We start from the raw sequence: 13,678 nt of genomic DNA, 5'->3' as shown, positions 1-13,678 counted from the left end.
TCATAATCTAAGAATTTCTAGTGAGATGGTGAAATATGCAAAAAAAAAATGCAATTTGCTCAGCTTATAAATATTGGCTATTTAATTAACATTGTTTGTGACAATGACATATTTTTCTTATATAGATGATGAGAGAAAGTTCTTTGAAAAATTGCATAGCTATTGTTCTTGAGTAAGTTGCTAAGAGCATTTTACCACCAAGAATAGAGCTAAAGAAAATTGGCTTTGCCTTGTCTGAAGACCATGACTTCTACCTTGGGAACATGTGCACCGAAATGAATACAGCCTCCTCTATGTGTTCACGGGAGGGGATCGTGGGTGGGGAGGTGCAGTGATTCTCAGAACGGCCCTTGTAATTTAAACCTAAGTACCAATATCTCTATGTCAGAAGCAAGGAAATAGACCAAAGCATTAAATGACTAGTTTCAAAATATGCACTTAACCAGCTCTAATGCTGAGAGGAAAATCTTCACTTTTATAATTTTTTTGTATATCCAAGTAAATATGTATAACAACTTTCTCCTAAGACATTTCCCCCTTTTGGTTCTAGAGACCAAAAAAATTGTTGTCTATGTTTCTAAACTTTTTTTCAAGGACTTCACACTTTTAAATTCAAGTTGAATACCCGTTATCTGAAATGCTTGGGACCAGAAGTGTTTCAGATTTTGGATACTTTTGGGTTTTCGAATATTTGACTATATACCTTGAGATATATCAGGGATGGGACCTAAGTCTGAACAAAAAATTCATTTATGTTTCATATACACCTTATAAACATTGCCTAAAGATAATTTTATACAATATTTTAAATAATCTTAAGCACGAAACAAACTTTTGACTGTGTTTTGACCGCAACTCATCACACGAGGTGAGGTGTGGAATTTTCTACATGTGGCGCGATGTCAGTGCTCAAAACATTCAGATTTTGGAGGATTTTAGATTTTGGAGTTTGAGATTACAGGTGTTCAACCTTTGTATCAAACACAACCAATTTATTAACAAAGCAGGTACAAAGTACAACACACTTATGCCCCTAACTTTTGAAGAAAAGCAAAAAAGATTAGTAGGTAAAAGTTGTTTTTCTCTCCCACAAATCATCTTTGCTACTCACACACACATATACTTTGCAAGTGTTTCCAAATCTCTGAAAACTTCACATCTCTTGTCTCAAGCTCTAGGTATGTACCTGCCTACCATAGTGTGGTGTCAAAGGGAAGGTGTCTGAGCAAACTTATTGATCTTAACCTTTTCTTCTCCACCTATGGCAGAAGCCACAAATACCTTATGTAAAGGGCTTGCAGCTGTGCCCTGTGAAGGAGCACTCCCTCCAGACTGGGCATGCGTCCTGGCCTCTGTTTGGAATGCTCTCTTTCTGCCTCAGTTTCCTTCCTGATGTATATATATAGACTCAGCCTCTCTGCCCAAGTCTTCTATGATGACAGCTCACTAGGCAGGCAGCGTGGATCTATGTTCCAGTCTCCTCTTGCAGATCAGATACCACCTCTGAGATCCTTCTCTGCTCCTCACTGACCAAACTCAAGGAACAGATCTTCCCTGCCCAGGTCTCCAGGACCCCAACCTACCCACTTCTAGGAGAGAATTCACACAGGGTAAGTTAAGAACACTTATAGCAAGGGATAAATCCTCCCTGCCCCTCGCATGGTGTGCCTTAACATTTAGCCCTAACCACAGGGATACAGAATAGCCCCTTCTGCAAAACTGAACTGGAAAATTGGATCCACATATAAAAAAGGAGGTTGTTCTGGCTAATTGATTAGTAAGGCCCCTGTAGCTCGTCCAGTTACATATATTCATGTCCAGCTTGTCACACTGTCTGGCTGACTAATTTGGCCTACAGACTCCCCAAACATGAGATTCTAATGACTCACCTAAAGTTTTAATATTCAGAAAACTGGGCCTTCTCCTTGGAAAGTTGTTCCGATGAGCAGGAATGTTAATCTGTGAGTGTAAGTACTGCCTTCACCTCTGGACGTGTCTGTGTGGTATGTGCCAAAGAGACAGAACTCAGCACAGATGGTGACTCCTGAATCATTAACTTCAGGCAGCTGCGTTCCGTGGCTGTACAGCTCCGTGGCAGCACAGGCACCAGGAGCCCACAGATTATCACGATAAACAGTACAAGACCTCTTGCAGGTCGTAGGCCATGGAGCACATGTTTAACTTCTTTGGGGAAAAAAATAATTCGCTGGCAAAAAAAAAAAACCCAGAATATTTGCCAAACACCTCATTTCCTGCTCTATAACCAGATGGTTATGAATCATGTGAAATATCCCTTCCACCTCCATGAACAAATATTCGTGTTATTTACAAACTAGTAGTACATTTGTGACTGCACATACATGCTTAACAAATTTCTAGGCCGTGGAATGTATTTCTCAAGTATATGGGAAAATCTATAACATGAAAATCTTTATCTTCCCAGGCTTTCTGAATAATGTGTATTAAACAGTTGTTGACGACCTAACAAAAGTTACTGGGTCTTGGAGTGTGAGACAGATCACTATTTTGGAGAAAGGATGTTATATGAAGCAGGAACTACATTTTTTCACTGTGGTTTCACCCTTTTATTTAGAAACAACAATAAACATTTTTGTTACGGCTTTGAAAAGAGAAAATAAATCCCTTTTTGTTATGGCTTTGAAAAGAGAAAATACATGCCTTTTTGGAAGAGAGAAAGAGAAAAGGCAGGAAGGAAGGGAAAGAAGGAAGGGGAGATTGGATGGATTCTTTGCTAGCCAAGGTGCCTAAGAGCTAGAAACAAAAGTAGGAAATACAAACACTGTAGCTTTCTGCACCACAGCTGCCTCCCCTCGCAACAAAGAGCAGGCCCTCGGCCTCCGAGCCTGGGAGAGGGAGCATCACCCTTAGGCACAATGTAGCCCAGAAGGGCCTGGCGCTGTCCTTTTTGGCCTCCTGACAAGAATGTTCACTTACAGATCCCAAGTTATCCTAAGTCCATCTGGCGTGTTCTGAGGATCAAAAACAAATGTGTGGAGCCTCCCCTCCCTCGCACCCGCCTGCACTCTCAGGCTCTGACCTGCTTTCAGGAGCACTCAGGGTGAAGCCCAGACTTGTCCCACAGGGGATTCTCTGGGAGGGAGGCTGGGAGCACATGGCATGCAGTGCCTCTGCCTCCTCACCCACCCTAAGAGGTGGAAGGAGGCAGCCCAGCAGTGCCCCTCAGAGTCAAAGACAGCGTGGCTCGCTCTCACAAGCCCTTCAGCTTGCTGGGCAGTAGTGAGATTTTTTGTTCCTTTCTTATTAGAGTCACAGAGAGTCAGAAGGGAACTCAGAGATGATTTTACAAAGGGAAGAATATTAAGGCTTAGCGAGGTCAGACTACTCACACAGGTCATGGCAAATTAGCAGAAGAGTTGGGATTTCATTTTTAGTGTTTTGCCATCCTATGGATGGGTTTAAATCAGAGGTAATAACTTTGATCCAGCTATTCTTCAAGAGAAAATAAAGCCAGGGCTTTGGGAACAGTAGGAGGTGGGGATGAGGGGAAGGGCAACATCAGGCAGCATTTATGTGACCAAACAGACACGTTTTTGACACAGGTTGGACATGTCAGATAAAATAATCTGCCATCTGCACCAACTTGCTTGACCTGAACAACAAGTTCAAATGCCAAGGTGACTAGAGAAGAGGGAGAGTACAGGAAGCAAGGGAGGGGGAGAGGCTTCTCCTCTTTCTCAGGACAGGAGTCTGGCACCTCATCTTTTTATGAACAATAGAGCCCCTGTGTAAGCCCCATGTCCCTCAGGAAAGGAGGATCCCAGGAGGTCCCATCCTCTGCAGCCTGCAGTGCCTCTTCCTCATTTCCTTATTGACTCCTGATTCCGGGGGTCCTAGGTGGGCAGGGCTTAGACGTCCAGTTGCATCAACTGTCCCTGCATCCTATCCCTGATTTTACTTCACTACAGGAAGTAGCCAGAGTGCAACAGCAGGCTCTCTGTGTCTGGATTTTATGACAAAAGAGGATTTATAAACAGAACTTGAGGGCCTTCCTGAGAAAGAGAAATTGGCCTCTCTTCAGTCAGGAGCCAGGGAATTATTTGCACGCCAAGCAAATAGCTCCCAAGCTAACAATAAATGGCTCTGGGGCTGTGTCATTCATTGACCCTGGGAATTCACCCAAGGCACCTCTGAAATTTGAAAATAGCTGTTAATTACATTAAATCGTGAGAATTACAGATTTTTCCAAAAGGGATGACTATTAGAAATGTGAGGTGTCAACGGAGGTTTGATGAATAGGCACCACCAGTTTGTTTTCTTCCTATAATCCAAGCCTCTGAAAATGACCTGAGAATTCACACATATGATCTGAGAGTCAGAATTGGCCAATATTGTAGAAAGTAAAGGTAAAACCTGTATTCTTCCCACCTCCCTTTAACAGAGTACGTACTACATTAGTCTGGTGTTTGGAACACCTACTGTAGGTTATTCCTTTGGACTTATGCGTTTTTGTACCTAAGAAACTTCTTTCAAAATAAAAATACTCTTGCCAGGGGCAACATATCAGGCTGTTGTAGACTGAATTGTGTCCCCCTAAAATTCATGGAAGTCCTAACCCCCAGTAGCTCCGAATGTGACTGTATCTGGAGACAGGGTCTTTATAGAGGTAATTAGGTTAAAATGAGGTCACTGGGATGGGCCCTAATCCAATATGATGGGTCTCCTTATAAGAGGAAATTGAGACACAGACCTGTTCACAGGGAAGACCGTGTGAAGACACTGGAAGAAGACAGCCATCCACAAAGCAAGGACAGGAGCCTTGGAGGAGAACAATCCTGGGGACTCCTTGATCTTAGACTTCTAGCCTCCAGGATTATTAGAAAATAAATTTATGTTATTTAAGCTGCCCAGTCTGTGGTACCTTGCTATGGCAGCCCTAGCAAAATAATTCACAGGCTATTTACACTTGAACATGAATTATTGATAGTAGGGAAAAAAAATGAGCCCTGTAACTTTCCTAGTCTTGAGGAATAGAGACTACAAACAAATCAAGTCTTCTGTGGGAATGCTGGGCCATGGGCTTTGGAATCACCACCAGTGATGGAACCCGAAGTAAGCTACTAAACCTCGACAGGCTCATTCATGAATCACCACCAGTGATGGAACCCCAGGTAAGCTACTAAACCTCAACAGGCTCATCCATGATGTGGGGATTATCATAATATCGACCTTATAAAGCTGCTAGGATTAAACAAAATACATGGAAAGTGTACAGTGCCTAAGACGTAGTGAGCACTCCATAAATTGTAGTTATGATAATAGTGAGGGGCTAGGAGAGGAGGCTCTGAGAAAAGAGGACTAGGTAGAAGACAGAGGGGAAAGTCATAAAAACAATGCTGGTCTGCAGAGTTGGGAGCCCTGGATTTTAGCTCCAGCCCTGCACTGATTAGATAATTTTGAGAAGTCACTTTGCCATCCTGATCCTCAGTTTCCTCATCTATACAATGAAAAGGCTAGACTATATACAAAAGACAAAAGGTGAAGAGGAAGCTAAAAACACCTCTTTTTTTTTTTTCTCAAGGTGGTCCTGAAAGGAGGAGGTGCTTTGCTTCTCTTTTTCGCAGATGTCAATTATGGATCAACTTCTGAGTCACATAGAAGAGGTAAACACAAGTTTCTTCACTCGCTTTCTTTTTCTTCCACCAAATATCCATCCCTGTAATAGCTACCATGATTGATAAGAGGAACATTTTCCAGGACCACCCTTAGCCATGATCTCAGGCCTCTGGAGTGGCCCCTTCCACCCTTCTCCAATGATCTTCCTTGCAGTGTCCCCTCCAAACCTTCCCATATCCAGGAAACCTAGATTTCCACACCCCAGGGGAACATCTCACTGGATGCCAGGAGAGCAGAAAAGCATAGATGGGTTGGACCTCACGTTACTCTGAAGGAATATCCTGAGATTTACTCTAGAAATATATTCTCTGCCAACATCAGAACTTAAGAGTCTTCATCACAAAAATTATTACATTTATTAGGTGATAATTGATGAGGCTTTGGACAGAGCATGCATTCCTTCAAGCAATCAGCTCTGTGCTTACTTGCTGCCAAGACACTGTGCTAAGTGCTAGGCTGGACAGTTCTTTCCTGGGGGGAAATTCATAGACTATTAGATAGTTAAAAAGAAAAAAAAAATCCATCATTTTACCATGCACTTCACATCGAATGAGCCATGGCATATTTCTGTTAAATATTGATATAAACCGTCATGGAAATAATTAAACATTTTCACCTTCCAGCACCATCAATTGGCCATTTCTCACCTGATCACTGAGGATATAAAGTGCTTTTCCAGACTCCAGGACTCGGTTCATTGCTAGTATCAGGACGCCTCTCATGTATGGGAAGCCAGAAACATCCCAGGAGCCTCACTGACTGCTTGGGCACAGCCCTCTGAGCAGACCTATGAAGAAACAGAAGGATTTGTGCCTTTTAGGTATCTCTGGTCAAAACAGGTATTTGAAGTTCTGATTCTGCTATTATCTGGCACCTCCACTTGGCCCATTGCTGGAAATATTAGGACTAGAAAACATCAAGATCAGGCACCGAACAGGCAAATCTCCACTGAGTGGTTCTGATGTGCAAATAGCTGATGAAGACTGGTTATGGTTATAAAATGGAACACAGTTTTCTAATTACATAGTGTGTGGGTCTCGTGTGTGTGTGTGTGTGCATGCATGTGTGTGCATGTGTGTGTTCGTGTGTGTGTGTGTGCATGTATATCTAAGGTGCTTCACATTTAGCTCTCAGCTCTCAGAATGAGTCCACATTCTGAGGTAAATCTATGGTGTTTGATACCAACCAATTTGAGAGAAACATCTGGTGTCATTTGCTTTTCTAGATTCATTTTTATATCTCCAAGACAGAGACACAACAAAGCTTTACTTAGGGCCAACTTATTCTAAAGTTTTATTGGTATCTAGAAGTAGACACCCATGTCTCTTCCACTTCCTTATTTGAATAAAATTAAGTGGGTCTAGTCCTTACCTTAATTCTCTCTTAAAAATGCTCAAGAAAACCAATTTCAATAGCTGGGCCTAAAACAATATTACAAAACTTGGGTGCTAGGATTATAACAAGGATTTTTCCAACCAGCAAGAAACAAAGCAAGACTTTCAAACAGTTTTATTATTTTTTATCTTTTTAAAAATTGTATTGGGGTAAAATACACGTAGCATAAAATTTACCATCTTAACCATTTTTAGGCCTACAGTTCAGTGGTACTAAGTACATTCCTATTGTTATACGGCCACTACCACTATCCATCTCCAGAATCTTTTCATCTTCCCAAACTGAAATTCTGCCTCCATTAAACAATAACTCCCCAGTCCCATCTTTCCCCAGGCCCTGGAAACCACCATTCTATTTTCTGTCTTTATAAATTTCACTACTCTAGACATTTCATATAAAGAGAATCATATAATATGTGTTCTTTTGTGGCTGGCTTATTTCGCAGAGCATAATGTCTTCAAGCTTCATCCATGTTGTAGCATATGTCAGAATTACCTTTGTTTTGAGGGTGAATAATATTTCATCATATGTAGATGCCACATATTGTTTACTCACTCATCCCTCAATGGACGCTTGGGTTGCATCCACGTTTTGGCTACTGTGAAAAATGCTGCTATGAATATGGGTGTACAAACATCTCTTTGAGACCCTGCTTTCAACTCTTTTGGGTATATACCCAAAAGGTTAATTGGTGGATCATACAGTATTTCTACCTTTAATTTTTTGAGGACTCACCATAGTGTTTTCCATAGCAGTTACATCATTTTACAATCCTACCAATAAACGGTACACAAGGGTTCCAATTTTTTCACATCCTTGCCAACACTTGTTATTTTATGTTTTTAGGCTAGCCATCCTAATGGGCATGAGGCCTTCCAAACAGTTTTATGATCGACTAAGTTAACCAAGTAAACCAGATCAATGACGGGCCATAACATCAATGACCAAAAGAAAGGGGGATGGAAGACACTCAGAAAGTTCCACCCCAGCCCTTACAACATTGTTTGAATGGAGAGTAGAAGGGGACAAGCTCCCATTTCACAAGGTAAAGTTTATAGATTACCTAGATGTCTTTCATTGCCACTTGTTCTAGGTCACACACACAAAACCTAACTCAGCAGTCTCAAGTATATCAGGAGGAAAATGATGCAAGTCTCAGTGAGAGAGAGAGAAATAGTGAGAGAAAGAGTGAAAAGGAGGAGGAGGAAAAGGAGAAAAGGAAGGAAGAGAGGGAATAGGAAAGGAGAGGCAAGGAAAGCTTTCACGTAGCAAATGAAACAGAATGAAAAGACAAACTACAGAATAGGAGAAAATATTTGCAAACCATATATCTGATAAGGGATTACTGTAATATCCAAAGTGTATAAGGAATTTCTACAACTGAATAGCAAAAAATAAAATAAAATAATAACAAATAACCCTACTAAAAATGGGCAAAAGACTTGAATAGACATTCTCCAAAGAAGACATGCAAATGGTCAACAGTTATATAAAAAGATGCTTGACTGGGCGCAGTGGCTCATGCCTGTAATCCCAGCACTTTGGGAGGCCGAGGCGGGTGGATCACCTGAGGTCAGGAGTTCGAGACCAGGCTGGCCAACATGGTGAAACCCCATCTCTACTAAAAATACAAAAATTAGCCGGGCGTGGTGGCAGACATCTGTAGTCCCATTTACTCAGGAGGCTGAAGCAAGAGAATCACTAGAATCTGCGAGGTGGAGGTTGCAGTGAGCCAAGATCGTGCCACTGCACTCCAGCCTGGGCAACAAGAGCAAGACTCCATCTCAAAAAACAAACAAGCAAACAAAAGATGCTCAACATCATTAATCATGAGGGATATGGAAATCAAAACCGCAATGAGACATCACCTCATTAGAGTGTTAGGATGTCTATTAGAGAAAAGAAGATAACACACGCTGGTGAGAATGTAAAGAAACTGGAATTCTTCTGCATTGTTGGTAGGAGTGTAAATGGTACAACCACTAGGGAAAGCAGAAAGAAGGGTCCTTAAAAAATTGAAAATAGAACTACCATATGTTTTAGCAATCCCACTTCTGGGTATATACCCAAAAGAATTGAAAGTAGGATCTCAAAGAGATATTTGTACTCCCACGTTCCTTGCAGCATTATTCACAGTAGCCAAAAGGTGGAAGCAACACAGGTGTCCACTGATAGATGAATGGATAAAGAAAATGTGGTATATATATATATATTATGGAATATTATTCAGCCTTTAAAAAGAATGAACTCCTGCAATATGCAACAACATAGATGAACCTAGAGAAACATTATGCTAAGTGAAATACTGTATAATTTAACTTACACTTGATATTTAAAAGAACTGCTATGGTCCGATTATTTGTTCCCTTCAAAACTCATGTTGAAACTTAATCCCCAATACAGCAATATTGAGAGATTGATTCCTTAAGAGGTGACTGAGTCATGAGGGCCCTGCCCTTATGAATGTATTAATTCATTCACGTATTAATAGGTTATCATGGGGGTGGGACTGGTGGCTTTATAAGAAGAGAGGCCTGAGCTAGCACACTCAGCCCCCTCACCATGTAATACCCTGCACTACCTCTGCAGAAGAGTCCTTGCCAGCAAGAAGGCCCTCACCAGATGTAGCCCCTTGACCTTGGACTTCTTGGCCTGTGTAACTATAAGAAATACATTCCTTTCCTTTATGAATTACCCAGTTTCAGGTATTCTAAGTAACAGAAACTGAACTAAGACAACAGACAAGCTGACGAAAGCAGAGGGTAGAATGTTGGTTGCCAGGGATTGAAGGGAGGGGAAAATGGGGAGTTGCTATTCAACGGGTATAAGGTTTCAGTGATGCAAGATGAGCAGGTTCTAGAGAGCTGCTGTACAACATTGTGCCTTTAGTTAACAGTACTGTATTGTAGACTTAAAACTTTGTTAGGAGGCTAGATCTCATGTTCAATGTTCTCACTACAAGAAAAAAAAAGAAAGAAAAAGGAAATGTAGTATTTGTGAAGTTCTATTGAATAAAAGCGTGTGCATATGGATGAACTTGGCTGACCTGACAATAAAAGTCCTAACATAGAACTTCTTTGAAGATTGAACATATAATAGGGTCCTAATTCTCCATAGTGAATGGTCTTTTTCAAAAAGAATACGTGATCAAAAACTTTCCACAGGCAGAGATGACTTAAAGCTACTTCACAAATCTTACTTATATACTGTATACAGTATTACATTATATACTGTAATGAGTTGTGAGGGATATGTATTACTTTAAAATCTTGACTACACAGATTATTTAAATGCTTACAAATGAAAAGGCTCATGAGATAGAGCTTTATAATATTTTTAGATTAAATAAAGTTTTTCTGAAGCTAGAGGTTTCAAATTTGCAGCTACATTTCTTGTGAGAAAACTAAAATAGAATACGTCCAAAACAGCTTGTCCATAGAATAGTTAAAATAATCCTTCCTGTTTTGCAGAATTAAGAATACATTCAATGAGTGGAAGGAAAATGCTAAGTTTCTGAAGACAGACTAGCTAAAACTAATAGTTAATATTTATTGCTCATTTATTATGCACATTTGCTCTTTCCAATAATTCCTAAGGTGGTTCCTATTATTTTCTTCATTTTATAAATCTGGACAATCAAGTGATATTAAACAACTTGACTAAGGTCATTGGATTAGTAAATGCAGAAGATCACTAAGAACCAAAGCAGTCTGACCCCAGTGCCTATTCTTACAACTATTACATTGCACTATCTCTCTACAGATTAAAAAGGAAAACATCTCATCTTCAATTGCCTGATGAAATGACCAGTGATTCCTCTGCTTTGGAGTAAACAAAGTATATTACAACAAATCTCCTCCACTTTTTCCTTCCTTTGCAGGATTTCTGAAACTTGTCTTCTTGTCAGCTGCTAGCATAAGAGGAACCAGAAGCCTACTGCCCATTTGATTTTTTCCTTAGCAGGGAGAAACAGACTTAGCCCCAGTTTCTAAAATCTACGGTCTCTTTCACACAGCGAGGAGGATGCAGCACATGCAGAGGCTTCATAAATCTGATGAGTGCTGAAAAGAACCATGCCCTCCAGCAAGGGGGAGCCAGGAAACATTCTACAGGAAAGTCTGGAGTTTTGACACCTGTTGAGAGACACACCACCCACTAAAGAAAAAAAGGGTGCAGAGCTCTTCTACCCTTAGATAATATGTGTTGGGAAGAATTAACCAGGTAAGTATGAATGCAGCACATATAATCTCATCTCTTCTTTCATCTGTATCAGTCATTCTTTGAAGATGAGCTAATGTCCCAGTTGTTCCTCCTACTTGGCTAACCATCTTTTGGTCATTTTTCAACAATTTAGCATTGTGTAATGGACAAGAGAGGAAGTCACACTTCAATCTATCACAGATTATGACATCTGGTAAAGAATAACAATGGTAGGAAGATAAACAAGCTCTGTCAGAGCTAGCGTTTGTCTTCTTGACTGCAAGTGCTTGATGAGTATGTGTCAAAAAGGAAGAAAGGGAAGGGAGAGAAGGAGGAGGAGGAAGAAGAAAAGGAGGAATGAAATAATTAAAACTTTTCCTACTAGAAAAGTGCCATTTGATGCTCATCTGAGCTTCAGACCCCTCCTTGTTCTCAACCTAATTATGCCTTAGGTGGGGGAGAATTATATTGATCTGGCATCAACATAGTACTGTCAATTTGCTGCCAGTTTCTCTTGATTGTGCACTTAAGATCAGGAATGAGAGTGATTTTATGCTTCCATTGTCTACAGCCACATACAAACCATCCTAAAACATAGTGGCTTAAAATAACAACAATCATTTATTTGCTCACAGTTCTGCAGTTTGGTCAAGGTTCAGCAGGGACAGTTTGTCTCTGTTCCACATAGTATCAGCTGAGGCAGCTCAACTGAGGATGGAGGATGCACTTTCAAGATTGTTTCCTTGCAAGACTGGCAAGCTTGTATTGTCAGCTGGACCTCAACTAGGACTGTTGGCCAGGGACCTCTCTCCTCCTCCACATAGATCCATCTATGTGGCTGTTTGGGTTTTCTGACAAGATGGCCACAAGTTCCCAAGAGCAAATATTCCAAGAAAACAAGCCTCAATATGAAATCACTTATCAGGCCTCTCCTTGCATCATACTTGCCAAATGTCCCATTGGCCAAAGATGGCTCCATGATCAAGCCCAGAGTCCATGTGGGAGGGGACTACACAAGGGTAAGAACTCCAACAGCTGTGGTTCATTGGGGGTCACCAAACTAAGAGTTTACCACAGAGTGTGGTAACTTTCGTCTCTCCCCATTAGTAGAGAAAAATTGAAAATTGGTATTATTTGCCCACTCCCCCAATTTTTTAAGTCAGAAACTTAATACCAATGTTTCCTAATTTTTAAGTTGGCTTAAGAAAATTGGAGCCAGGTGTGGTGGCTCACGCCTGTAATCCCAGCACTTTGGGAGGACGAGGCAGGCGGATCACGAGGTCAGGAGATCGAGACCACCCTGGCTAACACAGTGAGACCCCGTCTCTACTAAAAATACAAAAAAAATTAGCCGGGCGTGGTGGCGGGCGCCTGTAGTCCCAGCTACTCAGAAGGCTGAGGCAGGAGAATGGCATGAACCTGGGAGGCAGAGCTTGCAGTGAGTCGAGATCGCGCCACTGCACTCCAGCCTGGGCGACAGAGCGAGACTCTGTCTCAAAAAAAAAAAAAAAAAGAAAGAAAATTGTAGGGAGGAAAAAAAGCTGTATGAGAGGAAAAAAATGTTATGGGTAAATAAAGTCAGGAAAATAGAAGTTCTTATCAAAAACAACCATAACTATCCTGGAACCACAGGGCAGCAAGGGGTGCACATGTGATAGGGGAATGCTTATGTCACAGATGAAAATTATGGCATGCTGGGTGACAAAAAACATAGACATATGGCACACCTAAACGTTACAAGGAGTGGAAATGTTACAAGCTAGTAAGGTTCATGAAGAAATAATGAAGACTTTTTCCAGGTAAAGTCAGAAAAACAAAAGCCAGAAAATAATTTGCTTTTATAAGCAGCATTTCAGTTGGACTTTCAAAAGGTTTGTTAATTTAAATGACATTTTAAATGCTTTTATCAATGATGAGATTGTTAAAATGGTGAGATAACTAATACTTTGAAGGACTGGATTAGAATTCAAATTAACTGAACAAATAGAAGTTGACAAGGATGTAAGGGACACAAATGTTTTCTAAGCTGTGATCACATTCCAAGCCCATATTAAGACCTGCATATATATTAGTTATCACAGAAACTTAAGGCACAGAGAGTTAAATCACTTTCTCAACGTACCATTGTTTGCCAGTGTGGGAGACAGGATTTGTAGCCAGATTTGTCTGGTTGTTTTGATCGATTTGTTAGATCCGAAATTTCTGCAAACTGAATCATTCATTTTTTTCATTGACTCTTTAAAACCAGAAAATATATTTTCAAGGGAAAAAAAATACTGATCAAAGATGCAACAAAGACATCACATGTAAGAATTCTGAAAGCTCTTCTAATCCTCAAACTGAATTGAAACACATTTAATGAAATGATAACTCTCAAAATAATTAACCAAATCAAATACTGAAACTTCAAACGTCAAATTATGAACAT

General features: G+C 40.6%; 1 protein-coding gene and 1 long non-coding RNA gene across 6 annotated transcripts in view, besides 4 other annotated features; one reads left to right on the top strand and one right to left on the bottom strand.

Moving 5' to 3' along the window:
- Positions 1-2,179, bottom strand: part of FRMD6 (FERM domain containing 6) — a 334,297-nt gene extending 332,118 nt beyond the window's left edge. For all 5 annotated transcript variants that reach the window (XM_047430922.1, XM_047430931.1, XM_047430926.1 and 2 more), the window contains exon 1: positions 1,890-2,179. The gene's annotated coding sequence lies outside the window, so the exon portion shown is untranslated. The remainder of the gene's footprint in view (positions 1-1,889) is intronic.
- LINC02310 (long intergenic non-protein coding RNA 2310) lies at positions 1,475-6,481 on the top strand. The gene is made up of 4 exons (NR_146549.1): positions 1,475-1,610; positions 5,001-5,150; positions 5,561-5,642; positions 6,279-6,481. It is a non-coding gene; the product is annotated as a long intergenic non-protein coding RNA 2310 (long non-coding RNA).
- Positions 1,627-2,826: an enhancer, noted in NCBI's record as "CDK7 strongly-dependent group 2 enhancer chr14:51862502-51863701 (GRCh37/hg19 assembly coordinates)". NCBI's record gives its function as "activates an origin of replication core promoter dependent on BRD2, BRD4, P300/CBP, MED14 and CDK7 cofactors, with strong dependence on CDK7, by STARR-seq in HCT116 cells {active_cell/tissue: HCT116}" and the evidence as "EXISTENCE:reporter gene assay evidence [ECO:0000049][PMID:35650434]".
- Positions 1,627-2,987: a biological region, named in NCBI's record as "CDK7 strongly-dependent group 2 enhancer GRCh37_chr14:51862502-51863701".
- Positions 2,487-2,987: an enhancer, noted in NCBI's record as "H3K4me1 hESC enhancer chr14:51862341-51862841 (GRCh37/hg19 assembly coordinates)". NCBI's record gives its function as "activates a minimal SCP1, AML or CMV promoter by ChIP-STARR-seq in naive and primed H9 embryonic stem cells {active_cell/tissue: H9 hESC(naive and primed)}" and the evidence as "EXISTENCE:reporter gene assay evidence [ECO:0000049][PMID:30033119]".
- Positions 2,988-3,488: an enhancer, noted in NCBI's record as "H3K4me1 hESC enhancer chr14:51861840-51862340 (GRCh37/hg19 assembly coordinates)". NCBI's record gives its function as "activates a minimal SCP1, AML or CMV promoter by ChIP-STARR-seq in naive and primed H9 embryonic stem cells {active_cell/tissue: H9 hESC(naive and primed)}" and the evidence as "EXISTENCE:reporter gene assay evidence [ECO:0000049][PMID:30033119]".
- Positions 6,482-13,678: the final 7,197 nt, after the last annotated feature.

Source organism: Homo sapiens, chromosome 14 (genome assembly GCF_000001405.40).
Source record: "Homo sapiens chromosome 14, GRCh38.p14 Primary Assembly".
Taxonomy (NCBI): domain Eukaryota; kingdom Metazoa; phylum Chordata; class Mammalia; order Primates; family Hominidae; genus Homo; species Homo sapiens.
The sequence above is the reverse complement of the archived record's forward strand: the minus strand, read 5'-3'. Positions and strand labels throughout refer to the sequence as shown.